This window comes from Homo sapiens, chromosome 2 (assembly GCF_000001405.40).
Source record: "Homo sapiens chromosome 2, GRCh38.p14 Primary Assembly".
Taxonomy (NCBI): domain Eukaryota; kingdom Metazoa; phylum Chordata; class Mammalia; order Primates; family Hominidae; genus Homo; species Homo sapiens.
Window position 1 is genome coordinate 115462375 of NC_000002.12, and position 21605 is coordinate 115483979.

Below are 21605 nucleotides of genomic sequence, written 5' to 3' on the forward strand. Positions count from 1 at the left end.
CTGCAGCAGCAAGGTGATCACTACAGTGTCAAATTGGTTATGTGAACTCCTAAAGTTTAATCTTTTACTAATTTCCCATTTCCTAAAAGGTTAGAATCCAAATTCCTTGGTATGACACACCTCCATGGTATGACATGGAGGACAAGGTCCTCCATGATATGAAGCCTATCCACCTCTTCAATAGCAATTATAGAACCCGACCATATTTAATAAGTTTATTTAATATTGAATACAGAATCCGAAACCGTAATAGGTTGTCTCACACATATATAAAATAAAAGTATTATAAAGAATATTTGCTAATGTATATTTATGCAGTTAGTGATTATTTTCCCTTTGCTCTGATGTTTTTTGTTTTTGTTCCTGCTTTTGTTTGAGAGAGTTTCACTCTGTCACCCAGTCTGGAGTGCAGTGGCACGATCTCAGCTCACTGCAACCTCTGCCTCCCAGGCTCAAGCAACCCTCCCACCTCAGCCTCCCCAGTAGCTGTGACTAGAAGCACATGCCACCATGCCCGGCTAATTGTTTTGTATTTTTAGTAGAGTTGGGGTTTTGTTATGTTGCCCAGGCTGCTCAAACTTCTGAGCTCAGGCAATCTGCTTGTCTCAGCCTCCGAAAGTGCTGGGATTAAAGGTGTTAGCTGCTGCGCCCAGCCTATAATTTTTAATTAATTTATTTTCTCTATCTGGAATAACCTTACACAAAAAGGGTCATCTAGTGAAATAGCTACTCTGTGCCAGTGTCAACTGCATTTGGAAATTACTCATATTCCTCTGAGGGATAAATGACCAACTCTTCCTTATACCACTACAGCATCCTATTTCTATACATGCATTACTTTGTAAGTTCTTTGCAGAGCATTTCCATAACTGATTCAGCTCTGAGATTCCTATACCACACCTGGCATCTGACACATGGTAAACACCAAATCCTTGACAAGTTACTGACTACTATTTATATTTTATGTGATTTATTTAAGCTGAACTAATTATGATGCTTTCAAAATTTAAATGTGTATAGTTTTAACATCAATGAAATCCAGAAGAGATAGTTGAAGGAAAGGTTTCTGAGGTTTTTAGGATGGAAGGAAGCATAGGTAAAAGATCATAAAACTGTCAGCAGCTTTTTAAATATATAGAGTGTTACATAAACACATATCTGTCCATAAGTAGTGATGCCATAAAATTGTCTATCCTTCACCTCAAATACACAAAGTGTAATTTATTTTTTCTTTAATGGATTTGGTCTTCCTTATGTGATGAGTATTGGGATATCATACTTTATTTTGGTCCATTTGCGTCTAATCTCACATTAGTCTATAATGCTGTAGATTCAAGTATCCCTTTAGGCAGTGCTGACTTTCTTGGTTAAAAATCCTGTCTCTCAACCAGTACCTCTCTACCTCCTTACCCTAAAGTGGCATCTGAGGGAAGGGTTGACTTCCTAACCTCTTAGTGCTGAGATAAGATCCCTGCATTGTGATGCCCTGCGACAAATGTGAATTCCTTTTCTTTTTTTCTCCTATATTCCTGCAGTTGCTGGTCTCTCTGTTGGTCATAATGGCTGAGCTCCTAAACTGTTTGAGTCCAGAGTGGCATATTTCTTGTGTGTCCAGTAGAGACTGGTGGTCCTCTCTTGCCTACCCAAGCTCTTCGTGGCTCATGATGGTGACATAGGCTCTCTGAATCACGGCTTCAATTGTTATAGGGTCCTCACTGTTCAACCTCCAGGCCACTTTGCCGGTCCAACTCTACTCTAGATTACCCTGAAATGATTCAAATGATACCATGTGTCTGTTTCCATTAGTGAAGGGTGATGTGATAGAGCAGTCCCAGTCATAATGTCTTTGGAGCTAGAACAAGAATATAAATGGAGATTATTAGTTTTACATTAAATATTTAACTCATGAATCAATCTGACAGTTTGTTAAAAATATATGCTATCCTTCTACCTTGACAAAAATATCTTCTTAATGGTCTGGAGAGCCAGATTTGAATTGAGAATCATCTGACTCCTTAAAGTTCTGCAGCCAAAAAAAAACACAAACAAAACAAAACAAACAAACAAAAAAAACAGCGGTACAGGAGAACTAGCACCTGACACCTGCCCTGTGTCTAACACTAGGTTTTTTTTCACCCCTGAGGCTGTTAGCATCTTGAGAGCTTCAAACAAACATGTGTGAATGCCCCAGCCTGTATGTTGAAACTGTTTACACATGCTACTCCTCAGGCCCAGAGATGCCCATATAGGTGGCTCAATTCATTGCAAAGAGGAAAAACCCAGGGAATGAACTCTCACAGACCAGGGCAGAGGGCTTGGAGAGGAATGTTCAGAGTCCTGGGTAGGGATGGATTCCAGACAGGTATAATATCAATAGGTAATTATGGCCTCCCCTTGGCCTTATGGAATCCTTGCCACATGAGTAGGAGTGAGCTAGAGGAGGGAGAGAGAACCCTCCAACGTGCAGAGACTGGGTGTCCTTGATCTAAGGTTCATACTTACTCAGTTCACAGTTAGATTTCCATAATCTCAAGTCTAAAAGGCTCCTATCTACCAACGTCCTTTCTTAAGGTCTTCTGTTTAATTATACCATGGTCTCGTTCTCCTTTTATATTCTTAAAAAGAACAAGTCACTAACACAGTCTGCCTGGGAACAGTACACTTTTTGGTAACATCTTAGAGCAGAAAATATATTTAAAAAGCAACAATATAAAGAGGAAATTAATTTTCTTTTTGTTTCCTAAGTATTACTTAATACTTACAATATATTTTTCCTATTACTTATATAGGTATTGCCATCGACACTTTGTAAGTTGTAGTAATACACACTCATAAATTCAGCAGTTAACTCCTCTAGCTTTGCACGTAATGCTGTTATTTCTTTTAAAACACACGGTTATCCTATTACGCATGTGAAGCTTGGAATAAAATATATATTAAAATATGACTAAAAATAAAAACAGATTTTATAGGCTTTGGAAGTACTATACTTTAAAAGATCTATATTTTTCACACTGAGGAAGGAGAACTACTGAAATAAAGTGTACTGTGTCAAAGTATTACACACAGAATATGAGAATGGCAATATTGAATATCCTTGCCCAACTGTGGAAAATTAAGGATTAAGATTTGAGGAAAGTCTAAATGCGTTAAAATGGAAAATGTAGGCCAGGCATGGTGGCTCACGCCTGTAATCCCAGTACTTTGGGAGGCCAAGGCAGGTGTATCACCTGAGGTCAGGAGTTCATGAACAGCCTGGCCAACATGGTGAAACCCTGGCTCTACTAAAAATACAAAAATTAGCCAGGGGTGGTGGCGCATATCTGTAGTCCAGCTACTCGGGAGGCTGAGACAGGAGAATCACTTGAACCCATAAGGCAGAGGTTGCAGTGAGCCAAGATCGTGCCACTGCACTCCAGCCTGGGTGACAGAGTGAGGCTTCATCTCAAAAAATAATAAAAATAAAATAAATTGAAAATAATAAGCACAACATTTTGTCATTTAGTTGATAAATCTACAGTTTAGAGTTTGCCATGAGTCAAACACTATCGTTTCCCAAGTGAATTAACTTTCATAATAATTTGCCTTTTTAAAAATGATAATTACCCATTCCATAATGGGTAATTACAGGTAACTATATTTTAAAAGAACTCACTATTACTGTTTATGTATCTACTGATTTGAAAGTGAAAATGTAAAAATGTTTTTATCAACATCACCAAGATGTTTTTCTACAAATTCTAACTGAATTGTATTCTACTCTATAAACTGATAGACCTTTGCTTTAGAAACTTATGTGGAAATACCAATCCAGAGAAATCCTGTCTCCCTATCTCCCACCTGGGACTCTTTAGAACCTTTAGTATTCACTTCAAAACGTCTGATATGGGAATTATAGTGTGGTGTTCTTTAACTTTTAATATCACAGATCCCATAATTTGGAGCATCATGTAACATTTTGTAGAGCTACTATTCCTCAGAACACAATTTGAGAAATGTTCTAATAGAGTCATTTTCCACAAATAGGAAAGTCCTACAAATATTATTATACTAAATCATAATGAAAACTAGTCTGATTTGATGTATTAATTATAAAGTAGTTTAGATTACTTTAACTTTTGGTGATTATTGCCAAAACTTCTTTCCTATTAAGAGTATTCTACAATAAATTAAATTTAGTCCACATATAATGCTGATCATATGTACAGTAACATTAACATCTAAGATGACAGAGTAATATACATCTTATTACTTTTGTGAAAAATAGAAAGGGTTACATAATAAAATATTAATTGTCTAGAATTTGGCTTTCTAGAGGCTTGATATACTGTGATGTAGCCCTTAAAATATGGATGTTCTTGTCAGAAATGTAGTTCTATATTGGGTTCTACTTTTGTTGTCAGTATGACTGGGACAGGTTACTGGATCTCTTTAGGTTTGTTTACTCACAGGTAAAATGGTGGTTAATAATATCTTCCTGGAAGAGTTGTGATACTAAAGAGATGGCCTATATATGTAAACCACCTGGCACCTGGTAGAAGCATTGATTACTCTTCTACCATTCATTTTCTTTGAATTCAATTTTTTTTGAGGAAGTACTTCTTGGTGACAGTGAAGTTCCTTAACCCTCAAGAAAAAGAGAAAACTCAGATTCTTGGAGGAAAGAATGTAGCACTCTCTTTTACCTTGTTATAAAAGGTTAAATTTTCCCTTCAGAAATTTGGAAGGCGTGGGGAAAATTTAAGGGAGCAATAAAGAAGAAAAGCAGAAATCTGAACATAGATGACAATAAAAAGAAATGATAAATACATGCATGTACACTCATGCATGTTTGCACACACACATGCACATGTGTACACATGCCCAACAACCACAAACACATCCACAAATAAAACAAGAGACACTGGCCAGGGGCAGTGGCTCACGTCTGTAATCCCAGCACTTTGGGAGGCTGAGGCGGACAGATCATGAGGTCAGGAGTTCGAGACCAGCCTGGTCAAGAGACCAGCCTGGCCAATATGGTGAAACCCCATCTCTACTAAAAATACGAAAATTAGCTGGGTGTGGTGGTGGGCACTTGTAATCCCAGCTACTCAGGAGGCTGAGGCAGGAGAATTGCTTTAACCCGGGAGGCAGAGGTTGCAGTGAGCCGAGATCACACCATTGCACTCCAGCCTAGGTGCCAAAACGAGACTCTGACTCAAAGAAAAAAAAAAGAGACACTGAAAAAAAGAGAAAATTAACTGTGATGCTCACTATTCCTGTGAGGTTGATTTAACTGCTACCTGCACTGCAATTTAATATGATGAACTTAAGAGTACAAGGCATCTGGAATTAATCTGAAAAATTATTATTAGAATAATGACACTTGAAGTGTTGACTTTTGACTACAATGGAATATTTATTAACTAGAACATTCTGCATACAGGCAGGACCTTGTGAAGCAAAATTTATAGCTTTGTGTTCAGGAATGATTACAAACAAAGATAGCAGAATCAGGGCTTTATTAGAGTACTATGCAACAGTTTTGCTAAATATATGTTAAAGGAATCTGAAAGAATAAAGAGAATCATGAAGATTATCCTAAGGATTCTCCTAAGGAAATTGAGCTTTCTGTGCTACCCAGAGAAGGGCCCAGATGGTACTGGATTCCCGCTGTAACTTAAAGGGAAGCTTTTACAATGTCTGGAACCTGCGATGTCTTGAAAATGAAGGTAGAGGATGTCCTCAAGTTTCTTACAGCAGGAACCCACTTAGGTGGCACCAACCTTGACTTCTAAATGGATCAGTACATCTGGAAAAGGAAAAGTGATGGCATCTATATCCTAAATCTGAAGAGGACTCAGGAGAAGCTTCTGCTGACCGCTCGTGTCATTGTTGCCATTGAAAACTGATGTCAGTGTCATGTCCTCCAGGAATACTGGCCAGAGGGCTCTGCCAAAGTTTGCTGCTGCCACTGGAGCAACTCCAATTGCTGGCTGCTTCACTCTTGGGATGTTCACTAACCAGATCCTGGCAGCCTTTCAGGAGCCACAGCTTCTAGTGGTTAATAATCCCAGGGCTGGCCACTGTCCTCTCACAGAGGCATCTTTTATTAACCTGCTTACTATTGCTCTGTGTTACACAGATTCTCCTCTGTGCTATGTGGACATTGCCATCCCACTCAACAAAGGAGCTCACTCAGTGGGGCTAATGTGGTTGATGGTGGCCCGGGGAGTTCTGCACTTGTGTGGCACCATCTCCCATGAACATCCATGGGAGGTCATGCCTGATCTCTACTTCTACAGAGATCCTGAAGGATTAAAAAGGAAGAGCAGGCTGCTACTGAAAAAGCTATGACCAAGGAAGAAGAATTTCAGGATGAATGGCCTACTGTAGCTCCTGAGTTTGCTGCTACTCAGGCTGAAGTTGCAGACTGGTCTCAAGGTGTGCAGGTGCCCTCTGTGCTTATTCAGCAGGGCTCTGCTGAAGACTGGAGCACTCAAGACTGCCACAGAAGACTGGTCTTCAACTCCCACTTCTCAGGCCACTGAATGGGTAGGAACAACCGCTGAGTGGTCTTAAGCTGTTCTTTCATAGATACTTTTTTTTTTTTTTTCCTCCTGAGACGGAGTATCACCCTGTTGCCCAGGCTGGAGTGCAGTGGTGCGATAGCTGACTACAACATCCACCTCCTGAGTAGCTGGGATTACAGGCGTGCACCACCATGCCCGGCTAATTTTTTGTGTCTTTAGTAGAGATGGGGTTACACCATGTTGGCCAGGCTGGTCTCGAGGTTCTTAAGCTACATGGCAATAAGGTTGTTGGAAAATAAACATTATTGTCTAAAGAAAATAGGAAAGTGAAATATAAAGTTATGAATTTAAAGCTATTTAGAAGGGCATGAAGAAAGACCAAAGAAGTATTCAAACTGAAATTATTCTAAAATGAAATTTCAAATTAAATTTAATCTAGTTTCACATTGCTGATTAAATTTTAGATGACACTGTACAAAGCTATCTGGGAGAGTGAAACCACATGACAAATTTACTGGTTGTCATTTTCTACTTTGTGATTTTAGCCTATAATCAGTTTTAAAGTTCTGATATTTAGAGTGTGCTGCCTCTCTACAACTAAGACCTTTTTGACTTTAACTTTATATCTGTTTAAAGAATCAATATCCCTTCAGAGGTTCTACGATTACAGATTGAAATTACTTTTTAAAAAGTTAACGTCCCAGGTTCTATTAAGACTAGTTTCCGAGGCTGAGCATGGTGGGTCACACCTGTAATCCGAGCACTTTGGGAGGCCAAGGTGGGTGGATCACCTGAGAGCGGGAGCTCGAGACCAGCCTGACCAACGTGGAGAAACCCCATCTCTACTAAAAATACAAAAGTAGCCAGGCGTGGTGGCACTTTCCTGTAATCCCAGCTACTTGGGAGGCTGAGGAAGGAGAATCACTTGAATCCGGGAGGTGGAGGTTGCAGTGAGCTGAGATCACACCATTGCACTCCAGCCTGGGCAACAAGAGAAAAAAAAAAAAAAAGAAAAAAAAAAACTAGTTTCTTTAAAATGTGGATATCAGTTAAAATCTGTGTATTGTATTGCATTTTGAATGCACTGGATTAATTCCATTTTTAAATGAAACGTGGAAAATCTTGTTTTAAGATGAAGAATCCTTGCTAAATAGAATCTCTGAACCCTAAAATGGCTTTTTTAATTGGGAATTTTCAAAATATGAATTTGGTTAGTTACAACAAACAATCAAAATCCTTACCTATGAATTGCCCTCTTCTAAAGCAAGAATGTTCAACTCGGATATCTAGTGGTAAAGCAAAAAGAGATTTCCCTGTTAGTCCTCTTACAGGTTGTGGGCATTGCTTATTTGACTTTGAAACATTAAAGAAGAATGTGTTTCAGGGCAGACATGTTGGTAAAACTGTTTCTGTTACAAAAATTTTAGAGGACAACCCAACGTTTTAATGTGGTGAACCTCATTTATCATCCTGTCACTGCACCATCTTTTTTCAGTTTCATCCTGGACCAGGGTTTCATGGCACAGAAAAAAACCTGGCCATCAAATCATAGCATATGAACAAGTAGATGGCCAAATGTTTGAAAGCATAAACATGCCTCTCTCATTGGGCACTGGTTGAGAGGGTTCGAAGCCCATTATTTGTAATTGCAGTTCAGACTAGGAGAAAAAAAACTCCATCCAGAAGAGAAACGATTGGAATGTTTGTATGGATTTGGGTTTTGATAGCTTCTGTAACATTCCATCACTGTTTGTGTGAGCATTTTCCAATCAGCTGTCCCAACATCAAAGCCATTTCTGCATAATTTTTTTTTCTCTATATTGCTTGTTCTTTTCAAAATTTGGTTTTCTATCCCCTTCTCCCCCAGTCTCAGTGAGATTTGCATTTTAATGTATGATCTGTCTAATGTATTGTCTATTTCACTTCTAACAGTTACATCTCTTACATTTACAAATGTACTTCACCATATTTCTTCCAGACAGTCACCTTTCTTATTATTTTACTGCCCTCATGACATAATATTGTAACTATCTGCAGCTCTTGGACAAAGAGAACCTTTCCAGAAGAGCTTTCAACTTTTTCTCTTTTGCCTTGGAGTATGTCTCTCTACCTCTATTATGTTCTTGTAAGTGATAAATATCTTATGAGTTTTTTTTGTCTATCCATAATGATAATAGAATCTGAGCATTAATATTTATTTTGGTGGACCATGCACAATTTCTAAAATCCATAATTTATTTTCATAACCAATATTACAGTAAATTCATTAAGCATATACACGGTTTGGAGGCTTATTGGCTTAATAGGTTCAATTCATAGAAAAGGATAATTCACTACCTACTCAAAAGCATCCTACCTTGAGAGTCAGCTAAGTGGGGAAAGGAAAAATATGCTTTTCTCTTCAGACAGCCTTTGTATCAGTGTTTCAGTAACATACATGACTACTTATTGCCATTTCATTTCTTCTCTTTGAATATTGCCTTTGCCTCTCCTGGGACAGTAGAGTTAATCTTATAGGAATACCTAATTCCACGAATTCCTTAGAATAGTATAAGGCTGTGCAGTGATTGGCCCTTACCTTGCTCTCTGGTCTCTCCTTCCACCACCGGCTTCTGAGAGGTTCGCAGTCTTACATCTTGAAAACCACTTTCAGTTTGTGAAATGGACCAGGATTCTTCTTTTTCTTTTCTTTTTCTCTCTTTTATTTTTTTTTTTGAGACAAGGTCTCACACTCTCACACAGACTGGAGTGCAGTGGCATGATCATTGCTCACTGCAGCCTCTACCTCACTGGCTCAAGCGATCCTCTCACCTCAGCCTCCTGAGTAGCTGGGACCACAGGCATACGCTACCATGCCAGACTAGTCTTTTTTTGTTTGTCTGTTTTTGTTTGTTGTTGTTGTTGTTGTTGTTTAGAGACAAGGTCTCACGCTGTTGCCCAGACTGGTCTTGGGGTCCTGGGCTCGAGTGATCAACTGCCTCAGCCTCCCAAAGTGCTAGGACTGCAGGTGTGAGCCACTTCACTCAGCCAGACCAGGATTCTTTCAAGTTTTGGTGACATTACTTATATTTTTCCCTATTTTTGGAATATTCTCCCCATCTGATTGCACTGGAACAGCTTTCTAACATTTTTTTCAAGGCTTTGTTAAACCATAAAATTAAAAAAATAAAAAAACATTCCTTGAGATTAATTCTCCTGGCTGTGTTGTGCAATCCTTCTAGGTGCCTGCATGCTCTGTGCTTATCTTTAATGATAATAACCCTTTATGTGTTTTAAATCATTTACTCATTCTGACAAGCATATTCAGTAAACAACTGTAGTTATCATCAGTCCTATTTTATGAATGTAGAAAATAATGCAAAGAAAATTAAGTTACTTACCCAATGTCTCACAGCTAATGGTAGAACAAATTTTGAAGAGGTCTGTGACAGGACTGTCCATTAGAAGTCGAATATGAACTAAAAATGCTATGCAATTTTTAAAAAATTTCAAGTAGATATATTACAAAAGCAGAAAGAAACAGGTGAAATTCATTGTACTGTTATTTTATTCTCAATATCATTTCAACATATGACCTATAAAAATGAGATTTTTTTTATTTCTTCACACTGAGTTTTCATATCCAGTGTACATTTTAAACTTAAAGCAGATCTTGATTCAGACTAGCATTCTAGAACACATGTGCCTAATTGCTACCTTTGTTCAACAGCACAAGTCTTTACTCTTAATTACAGCACCCCTCTTTGTATTGAAATAGTTTTATTTGCCTACCTGCCCCATTCTACTGTGTGCATCTTTACTAGGTGAAGAATGTGCTATTCATTTCTTTATTTCAAGTATATAGACTAGTTAGTGCCTAAGATATAGAAACAATAAATGCTTATGGAATTTTGTTGCTGCAGTATTGCAGTGGCTTCAGAGTACAGAGATTTTTGGATACTCTTTTTAGCAATCATTGTAGAATTGAAAATCTAAAAGATTCAAAACGCTTGACAAAATTTCTAGAAGGCATGTATTTGCCTGTTAGACTTCTGAGCAGGTCATACAAGAAGATTGGGAAGCTATCCTGGAAGTTAGCTGTAGCCCCTACAGACAGTAGAATATGCCAAGTTTCCACTTTAAGAGTGCATGTAAATGCTATGACTTTTACTAAAACCACATGGCAATATAATAAATGAAAATGTGGTCTAAACGTGTTCTGGAACATTTCCTAATTATTATAACATATTGTATTTTGTTATCATTATTTAGTAGAAAAATGGGATCAGAATTAGCATTGTAATATTATTTTGGTAAAATTATGAATGGGATCATGCCTCATACATAGTAGATGCCTAATAATTATTAATCTGATTTGATTTATTTGAGCCAGGGTTAGTAAGTTCAACTTCTACTGGTTTCTGTTATTTATTTGAGAACCTATTCAACTTGCCATCATTGGGACAAGCTGGGACAGTTCCTTAAAATGAACTCTATTAGAGTCAAATTGTTCCATCTGTTTTCCCTAAATGAAAGAAGATTCCCTTGATGCTAGTCAATGAGTGAGGGCTCCTTGACTCAGAACCAGATGCAAGCTTTATACCAGCCTTCCATTTCAGCCCAATTACATTCTTGGCAGCCTGTGAGACTCATGGGGTAAACTTTTTATAACAATTATCAATATCAGCCAATTTTTCAGAATGGGCAGGAATAAACTTCAATGGCTCCAGGATGAGTTTTCTGTCTTCCAAAGCCTCTGTCTGGCTGGCTGCCATGGAGAATATGTAGGAGCATAAAGGCTGCTGTTTTATGTAACACTCTAGAAATCAGCTAACTTTATGACTACTTAGAGTTTTAGGATTTTATCAATCTAAATTAATTATTTAATATTGGCTTAGGCTACTTTTTTGTGACATAGAGAACATTATTTTTATTCCTGTGATACAGACCTCCAAGGTGTGTGTGTACATTACATAGCAATGACTGGAGTCTGGTTTATTGTTGACTCCCTCATAAAGCTATTGTGGACGAAAGAGAGAAAGCATCTTACTGATGGGATATAGAATCAGTGAAAACCTGGAACCATTGAATTCCCATTGGGTTAGTGTGTGTATATTAGGATGGGAGGTTTGGGGAAGTAGAGTGGAAATTGATGGTGTTATGAGATGACGTCGTGACCTTTAACTCAGGAATGACTCAATCCTGTCAATATCTAACAATCCCTATACATTGTGATCTCAGGTAGATTGTTTTGCAATGGCAATGGCAATTATGAACACACACTATTATTCACTGAATGTTCATAATCACAAAGGGAAATTGTTTCTTAAATTGCAATAGGACACCAAGATTTTTCTCAAGGTTCAAGAGAAAACTTTTCTGTTTTGAGAAGTTTGAAAACTAAAACAAAGAAAGCATTCATATGATAAGAGAAGAAAGTGAGAAGACACGAGTCCTCTGTCCTCTTAGCCAGGCTCTAATGGGTTCAGCCCATGGAGGTAGGAATTAGAAAACATCATAGACCATATCGACTTGAACTGCTTAGAAATTCAGCCACAGATTTTCTGAAGCGTGAGAACGGACTAATACAAAAAATCACTTTTGTTATGCATTAGCAAAGAACTTGGAGGCATTTTGCCCATGCCTTATGGATCTTTGGAACTTTGAACTTAAGAGTGATGGATTAGGGTATCTGGTAGAAGAAATTTCTAAGGAGCAACTGATTCAAGATGTGGCCAGGCTGCTTCTAAAAGCCTATATTCGTATGTGCGAGCAAAAAATGACCTGAAACTGGAACTTATATTTAAAAGAAAAACAGAGTGTAAAAGATTGGACAATCTGCACCCTGACCATGTGATAGAAAAAAAAAAAAAAAGCCCATTTAACAGGGAGGAATTCAAGCAGGTGGCAGAAATTTGCATAAGTAAAGAGGAGCCAATTACTAATAGCCAAGACAATGGGGAAAGAGCCTCCAAGGCATTTCAGAGACATTTGTGGCATCCACTCCCATAATAGGCTCAGAGGCCTAGGAGGACTGAATGGTTTCATGGGCCAAGCCCAGGGCCCCACTGCCCTGTTCAGCCTTGGGACACTACTCCCCATATCTCACTCTGCTCCAGCTCCAGCCAGAAAATTTGCAGCCTAGTCATTTGGTAGAAAAGAAAAGCCATTTGCAGGGGAGGAATTCAAACAGGCTGCAGAAATCTGCATAAGTAATGAGGAACCAGTTGCCAATAGCCAAGACAATGGGAAGGCCTTGAAGGCATTTCAGAGACCTCCATGGCAGTACTTCTCCTCACAGGCCCAGAGACTTAGGAGGTCTGAATGGTTTTGAGGGCCAAGTCCAGGGCCCCACGGACCTGTGCAGCCTTGGGACACTACTCCCTGCATCCCAGTCACTTCACCACTAGCCATGGCTCAACAAGGCCCAGGTACAACTCAGGCCACCACTTCAGAGGATGCAAACTGTAAGTATTGGTGGCTTCCAAGTGGTGTTAAGCCCATGGGTGCACAGAATGCCAAAGCTGAGCCTTGAGAGCTCCTGCCTAGATTTCAGAGAATGTATGGAAAAGCCTGGATGTCCTGGCAGAAGCCTGCTGCAGGGGCAGAGCCCTCATGGAGAACCTCCAGGAAGCCAATGTGGAGGGAACATGTGGGGTTGGAGTCCCCACACAGAATCCCCAGTGGAGGACTGTCTAGTGGAGCTGTGAGAAGAGGGCCACCATCCTTTAAACCCCAGAATGGTAGATCCACCAGTAGCTTTCACATTTAGCCTGGAAGAGCCACAGGCACTCAACGCCAGCCCATGAGAACAGTTGTGGGGGCTAAACCCTAGAAAGCCACAGGAGTGGAGCTGCCCAAGGCTTTGGGAGCCCTCCTTTTGCGTCAGTGTGACCTGGATTGAGACATGGAATCAAAGAAGATTATTTTGGAGCTTTAAGATTTAATGACTGCTTTTCTGGGTTTCAGACTTGCACAGAGCCTATAGCCTCTTTCTTTTGACCAATTTTTCCATTTTGGAAAGGGAATATTTACCCAATGCCTATACCAACATTGTATCTTGGAAGTAACTAACTTGTTTTTGATTTTACAAGCTCATATGCAAAAGGAACTTGCTTTGTCTCAGATAAGACTTTGAGTTAATACTGGAGTGAGTTAAGACTCGGGGGGACTCTTGAGAAGATATGATTGTATTTTGAAATGTAAGAGAGCCATGAGATTTGGAAGGTGCCAGGGGTTGAATAATATGGCTTGGATTTGTGTCCATACCCAAATCTCATGTGGAATTGTAATCTCCAATGCTGGACCTAAAGCCTGATTTGAGGTGATTGGATCAACAGGGCAGATTTTCCTTTCGATGTTGTTTTGTGATAATGAGTGAGTTCTCATGAGATCTGATGTTTTAAAAGCGTGTGGTACCTCTCCACTTTCCCTCATTCTGCAGCCGTGTAAGACATGCCTGCTCCCCCTTTGCCTTCCACCATAATTGTAAGCTTCCTGAGGCCTCTCCAAAAGTAGAAGCCACTATACTTCCTGTACAGCCTATAGAACTATGAGACAATTAAACCTCTTTTCTTTACAAATCATCCAGTCTCAGGTATTTATTTGTAGCAGTACAAGAACAAGCAAATACAGAGAGCCAATGCATCACATGGCCAGAGTAGAAGCAAAAAAGTTAGGGGTAAGATGCCACACATATTTAAATAGCCAGATATTGTAAGATCTCACTATCATGAGGACAGCACCAAGGATATGGCACTAAGCAATTAATGAGAAACCTGCCACCATAATCCAATCATCTCCTACCAGGCTCCACTTCCAACATTGGGGAATGACATTCAGTATGAAATTTAGAGAGTACAACATCCAAACTGTGTTAATACTGTTACAGAAATACTCAACAAAATACTAACAAACTGAATTTAGCAACATGTTTAAGAGATTATACACCATGACCCACTGGGATTATTCCTGTGCTAGGATGGTTCAACATATAAAAATCAATCATGTAATACACTACATTAACAGAATGAAAGATAAAAATTACATGATCATCACAATTGATACAGAAAAAATCATTTAATAAAAAATTAATACCCTTTCGTGATGAAAACTCTCAACAAACTAGGAATAAAAGAAAACTATTTCAATATATTCTAATCCACACATGAGAAACCCATAGCACACATTACTCGCAATGGTGAAATTGCTGAAAAATTGTCCTTGAAGATCAGAAAAATGATAGGATGCTCACTTTTGCCACTTCTATTCAACATAGTACTGGAATTTCTGATCAAGGAAATTAGCCAAGAAAAAGAAATAAAAGCCTTGGAAACTGGAAACAAAGAGGTAAAATTACTTCTGTTTACACATGATGTGGTCTTAGAAAATTTTAAAGATTTCCAAAAAGTTTGTTAGAACTAATTAAAAACAATAAGCAAAGTGACAGGGTACAAAGTCAATACACAAAAATCAGTTGCATTTTGATACACTAACAAACAACCCAAAAGAGGAAATTAAGAAAACAGTTCTATTTGTAGTAGCACCAAAAGGATTAAAATATTTAAGAATTTAGTTATCTAAAGAGATAAAAGTCTTGCATACAAAAAGCTACAAAGCATTCCTGGAAAAAAAAGATATATATTAATGAAAAGCTATTCCACATACATGGATTGAGAGACAGTATTGTTAAGATGCCAATAATGTCCAAAACAATATACACAGATTAATGTAGTCCTTATAAAAATCCCAATGATTTTTTGCATAAATAGACAAACCCTTCCTAAAACTTATATGGAATCTTAAGGTATCCAACTAATCAGTACAATCCTCAATATAGAATAACAAAGCATTGAGCTCATACTTCATGATTTCAAAATTTACTGCAAAGCCACAGTAATCAAAACAGTGTGGTAATGGTGTGTTAGCCCTTTTTTTGTGTGTTGCTATTATACATATAAAGACATACCTGAGGCTGGGTAATTTATAAGGAAAATGGGATGTATAGGAAGCATGGTGCTGGCATCTACTTGGCTTCTGGTGAGGCCTCAGGAAGCTGTCGATCATGGCAGAAGGAAAAAGGGTAGCTGGCATCTCACATTGTGAGCAGGAGCACAAGAGTAGGGGCAGGTGCCACACTCTTTTAAACAACCAGATCTCATGTGAACTCGGAGTGAGAACTCACTCATTACCAAAAGGATGGCACTAAGCCATTCATGAGGGATCCAGCCCCGCAATCTAGTCAGCTTCCACCAGGCCCCACCTCCAACACTGGGGATTGCATTTCAATGAGATTGGGAGGGGAGAAACAGCCAAACCACATCTATTGGCATAACAACAGACATATAGACCAATGGAATAGAATAGAGGGCCCAGAAATAAATTCTCAAATATGTGGTTAACTTATTTTCAACAAGGGTATTGAGACCTCAGTGAGGAAAAGACAGTACTTTCAACAAATGTCATTGGGAAAATTGTTTATCTACATGCAACAGAATGGAATGGGATTGTTAACTAAAATGATGTTTAAAAACTAGTTCTAAGTGAATCTATCACTTAAGTGTTAAACCTAAAACTATAAAACATTTAGAAGAAAGCAGGACAAAAGCCTCAAGATTTGGGTTTGGCAGTAATATTTCTTGGAAATGACATCAAATGCACAGACAGCGCAAGAAAATATACACAAATTGGACTTATAAATTTTTTTAAGTGTGCATCAAAAGACATCATCCACAGAGCCATAAGGTAATCCATAGATTGGGAAGAAATATTTGCAAGTCATATCTATGGTAAGGGATTAATATCCAGAACATATAGAAAATGCCTACAACTCAACAAGAATTACAAAACAAACAGCATAATTGATAGACAAAGGAGTTACATGAATATTTTTCCAAAAAGATATGCAAATATCCAATAATCATGAAAAAAGATGCTCAATGTCACTAATCATTAGGAAAATGCAAGTTAAAACCACAATTTGATACCACATCACATTCACTATGATGCATACTATCAGAAAGAAAGTAAATAGAAAATATTTGGTGATGACGTGGAGAAACTGAAAGTCTTGTGCACTATTTGGTGGGAATGTAAAATATTATAGCTGCTGTGGGAAACAGTATGATGTTTCCTCACAAAATTAAATGCAGAATTACTGTATGATCTATAAATTATTCTTCTGGATAAATACCCAAATGAATTGAATGCACGGTCTTAAAGAGATTTTTATGTACCCCTATTCATAGCAGCATTATTCACAAAAGCTAAAATGTGGAAGCAACCTAAGTGTCCATTGATGGATGAGTTGGATAAACAAAATGTGGGATATACATACAATGGGATGTTATTCATCCTTAGAAAGGAAGGAAATTCTGACATATGCTACAACATGGATGAACCCTCTAAGGTTCATCCATGCTAAGGGAAATAAGCTAGTGGCAAGTAGACAAATACTGTATGACTTTATTTATATGAGGTACTTAGAGCAGTCAAAATCATAGACACAGAAAGTAAAATAATGGTTTCCAAGAAGTGCAGTAAGGAATGAAGAGTTACTGTTTAATGCGTACAGATTTTCAGTTTTGCAAGATGAAAGGGGTTCTGAAGATAGGTGGTGGCAATGGTTATCCAACAATATGAATGTACTTAATACTGCTCAGTTGAAAACTTAAAATGGTTAGTATGGTATATGATAAATTTTATATTGTGTGCAATTTACTATAATTAAAAAATGAGGAAGAAACACAGTTTAATTTTAAATAAAAACACACATGTATATATATATATAAATTTTTGATGTGATAAAATATGGTCTCCCATAAGACCAGGAGGACTTAATCAAATTTGCTCCAGCTTTATGACCTTCTTTAGCCCCTCTGAAAGTCATCACTCCATATTTGCTGAGGTTCGAAGTTGGGTGTGCACCAGTCTGGTAGAGACTAGCTCCACTTTTAGCCATATGCTGTTGTGCTGCTACCATGGTTTCTCACATTTGTTAACTGACACTGACAAGGCTGAAAGAAGCAGTGGCATGCACCTTGCAGGGGAGACATGAATGCGTCCACACCTGAATTTGCCATGTTCAGACCTCAGTTATTTCCCCTAATAGAACAAATTCTGATAGTACGAGGAATGTTGAGAGCTACCCCTTCAACTATAGCCTCTGGGTGCTGCAGGCCATAACCAGGTCGGGTGTGTGCTATAAGGGGGTGGAGATCAAGCAGCACCATCCCCTGGGGCAGCTATTAAAATTTTCACTTCCAAATTGTATTTAAAGTCTGTCTCCCATTGGAATTCTGGCTCCCCCGTTCTCTTAATTGTATGATGTTAGTCCACTTAATTAAGTTCCCTGGAGTTCAATTTTCTTTATGTAAATATAATAATTTTGTTTATGTAAATATAAGAATTAAATGAGATAAGTATAAATGTCTAACAAAATGTCCTTCCCATTGTAGGTGTTAAGAAATGGCCCTTTCTTTTAATGTACTGCATAACTGAATTTTTTTCTTACTGACTAGGTTATAGGTGCCTTTTCCCCTCCTCGTTCCTACTTCCTAGGGACATGGTAAACACTTAACAAGTAGTTTATTGAGATTGAAAAAATGTATTCATTCTATTGTTGCTTGTTGGTTCTATCAGAACACTTTGATAGGAACAAAAATGGTGATTTTCTATATCATATCTGTATCTTTGAAGACAGTTATCTACCCTTTTATCATATTTGTGCTTCCAGCTGTGCCAAGAGCAAATGTTATAGAGTTAAAACGCGGGTGAGGTGAGGCAGGATCTGCAGACTGTGGCTCTTATCTGCTTAATGATGTGTACAGTAAGTGTCATATTAGGAAGAAGAACAGGAAGGCTCATCTTTTTGAAGCAGAAACATAATGTTCAGTATAAAGAATCTCATATCATGTTTTCTAAAAAATTGTATGCGAAAAAAATGGTGAAATAAAATGCTTAAGGAGAGACATCTGTTCTCTCTGATTCTTTAACCCACTTTAGACTTGGAGAAGCAAAGAAAAGCAACAGTTTAATTCTTGTGTTTCTTTAGGTCCAGATCTTTAGCTCTTGCATAAAAGTGAGCAAGCTGCCATCTGTGCAAACAGGTGGCTTGAATTAAATATGATGCTAAGTATTAGAACAATTATATTTCTAGCATGGCAGGAAGTGACAAAATTAAGAAAACCCAGGGTACTTTTAGTAAGATGAGATATGTGAGCCATAAACTGTGTCTAAGAAGATAAAGTATGAAAATATATGTTCAAAAGGAGCTAAACAACTGCATGCTTCACATTTGCCTCCAGTAATTCAAGAAGAGATGAAGTGCAATTACTCATATGCCCCTTTCAACATACTACTGTGGGTCAACTGGGTCCATCATAGAACAGTATTAGGGAAGATCTTCTATGTCATGAATAAAGAGTTGCTCAACTGTGGCTTAATTATCATTTAATAGTGACTCTCTTAGCTTCATAAAGTACATTCTTCAAAGCTTGAAGCTAAGTAGAAAGGCAAAAGAACACACAGGTTGGAGGGTAAGCTTAAGGAAGCAGTATAAGCATCGTTCATTCATTCAGAGATAACCGGTATTGCAGTAAGTAGGCTGGACTTGGAATCGTAATTCAGGAGTTTTAGTTGCTGATTCTTCACTGGGTTCAATGAGGCTTTTTTGATGACTTTTTCATCATGGATGAAATGAAGTCGTTGGACAAGATGACCTCCTTGGTTCCGTCCAGCTCTACAAAACATTTTGGAGCCAATTATTTTGTCGACTTTTTTCTCAGGGGTCCTTTATAGAAACAGTGTATAAAATTTACTGATAAAGTAATTAACTCTTTTTGACAGTTTTCCTTCAGTTAGATTAATATTTTCAGGGTTCATCTATCTTGTACTATGTATCATTATTTCATTCTCTTTTATTGATAAAAATACTTCATTATATGAACATATCACCTGCATATGATTAATGTATTTAATATTGTCAACTTATTCAGAATATAAATACTATTTGTAGAGCCCTATATTAGTAGAGGTAAGGATGAGAATATTCAAATTAAATGAGAAGGATTACACATAGCAACTATAACACAAGAACAAACCATTTTTGTTTCAAAGTTGGTAAAAAGTTAAACTTTACTTGGAGTAGATGAAACAAATACCAGGCAAATGGCACATTGTTTTGTTTCATATTACACCAGTAGTTTCGGTTTTACAGCCAAAATATATCTAAAGTTTTGTATTTGAAACTTTTGTCATCTCAGTTGTTTCCGTTTTGGTCATCACTATTTTTTCATATACCTTTAAAAAATAAATTTATTGATATAAAATCATATAGCATAAAATTCACCCTTTTATTTTTTAAAAATAATTTTTATTGTGTCTATTTAATGTATGTATACATCATAATGTTATAAGATTATATATATATATATCTGCATACATAGTAAAATAGTTAGTATAGGGGAACAAATTAGCATATTCATCATCTCACATAGTTACCCATTTTTTCCTCCTTGTGATAAAAACAGCTATGAAATTTGCCTTTTTAAAGTGTACAATTCATTGTTTTTAGTATATTCATAGAATTGTCTAACCATCATTGCTGTTCATTTCTGAAATGAGTTCATCATCTCCAAAGGGAAATCTAGTACACAGTCATTTCTGATTTTCCTCCCCCCAGTCTCTAGCAATCACTAATCTACTTTCTATTTCTATGGATTTTCCTATTTGAACATTTCCTATAGATTGAATTATGCCATATGCAGCTCTTTATGACTGTCTTCTTTCAGTTACATTCATATTTTTAAGGTTTATTCCTCGTGTACCATGTATCATTCCTTCATTCATCCTTATTGACATATAAATACCAATATTATTATATGGATATATCACATTTTATCAATTAATCAGTTCATGATACTGGGATGGCTTCCTTTCATCATAGCCTTACTACCTTAACATCTTCTTATTTTTTCTTTTCATTATGTGTGGGTGATTAACCTCTGGGATTTTACTCTATTCTTGCTTTGTTGTCTCATCCAGTTTATATATGAATTCCAAAATGCTCAAAATGGGAATACTTAGACACTAATTCAATGAGATACATAAATACCAAATATATACTCAGTCTTATTCAAAGTAATTGGGTAAATAAGGAAATTTTAATATTTTCTTCTAAAAAGAGTACACAGCCATTTTGATGGTTAATGGTAGTATCTGATAACAGGATGAAATGTAGGTAGGGTGGAGAATTAAAAAATGCTTACTAAATCATGGTAGTTACGTTACCTCCATCATCATCATACTCAAGATCACTTTATTGGATACATACTCTGTGGAAGGTACTTCATTTTTAATATGTATTATAGTATTTGATATTAAAACAACTTATTTTGGACATGTAGGATTTTTAAAAAATTATTTCAGATGACAAAAGTAAATTACAGATAGCTAATGTAACCAGCTCCAAAATTAAATACTGTTATGTAGAAGAGTCAGAATTTCAACCCAAATCTCTGAAACATACTCCTTCTTCGTTCTTTCACTGCCTGATATGTCTATCTGTCTGTCTATCTATCTATCTATCTATCTATCTATCTATCTATCTATCTGTATGTGTATGTGTGTGCATTTGTGTCTGTGTGTGTAAAACTAATATTGTTTGGGAGGAATTCATAATTCATAGAAGAGGTGGACTTTCAAATTGCCCATGATGTTAGATGAGGAAAATTTGGTTAATCGTGATGAGAAGTGAGGCAGGGTCACTAGTTTGAAGAAAACAACCACAGCAATAAAAAATGTACTCTCCACATTCATGTTCTAACACTGATTGATGTTAAGTTGTAGGTTTAGAGTTCAGCCTTACTGGCAGACTTACTTGTAAATTCCGACTGCTCCTTGGCCAATCTGATTATTCTTAACAACTCAACAGGAGACTTGAAACTTTAATGGAGATTTGTGATTCTCCCAGGGCGTATATCTATATCTTCTCAGCAGTGTCAGACTGATCTGCTGCCAACATGTTTTTCCCCCTCTCAGTAAAATAAATCTCTGACTACACATCCTGGCAAAAGCACACATTTCTCCTGGCAAGCTTCCTCAATGGGCATC

At 37.4% G+C, this 21605-nt stretch overlaps 1 protein-coding gene and 1 pseudogene across 24 annotated transcripts in view, besides 1 other annotated feature; both read left to right on the plus strand.

The window, feature by feature from the left end:
- Nucleotides 1-21605, plus strand: part of DPP10 (dipeptidyl peptidase like 10) — a 1403140-nt gene that overhangs the window by 1019734 nt on the left and 361801 nt on the right.
- RPSAP23 (ribosomal protein SA pseudogene 23) lies at nt 5611-6579 on the plus strand (annotated as a pseudogene).
- Nucleotides 13026-13211: a silencer, noted in NCBI's record as "fragment chr2:116232976-116233161 (GRCh37/hg19 assembly coordinates)". NCBI's record gives its function as "represses an EF-1alpha promoter that drives an FKBP-Casp9 reporter gene in an ReSE screen in HepG2 liver carcinoma cells {active_cell/tissue: HepG2}" and the evidence as "EXISTENCE:reporter gene assay evidence [ECO:0000049][PMID:32094911]".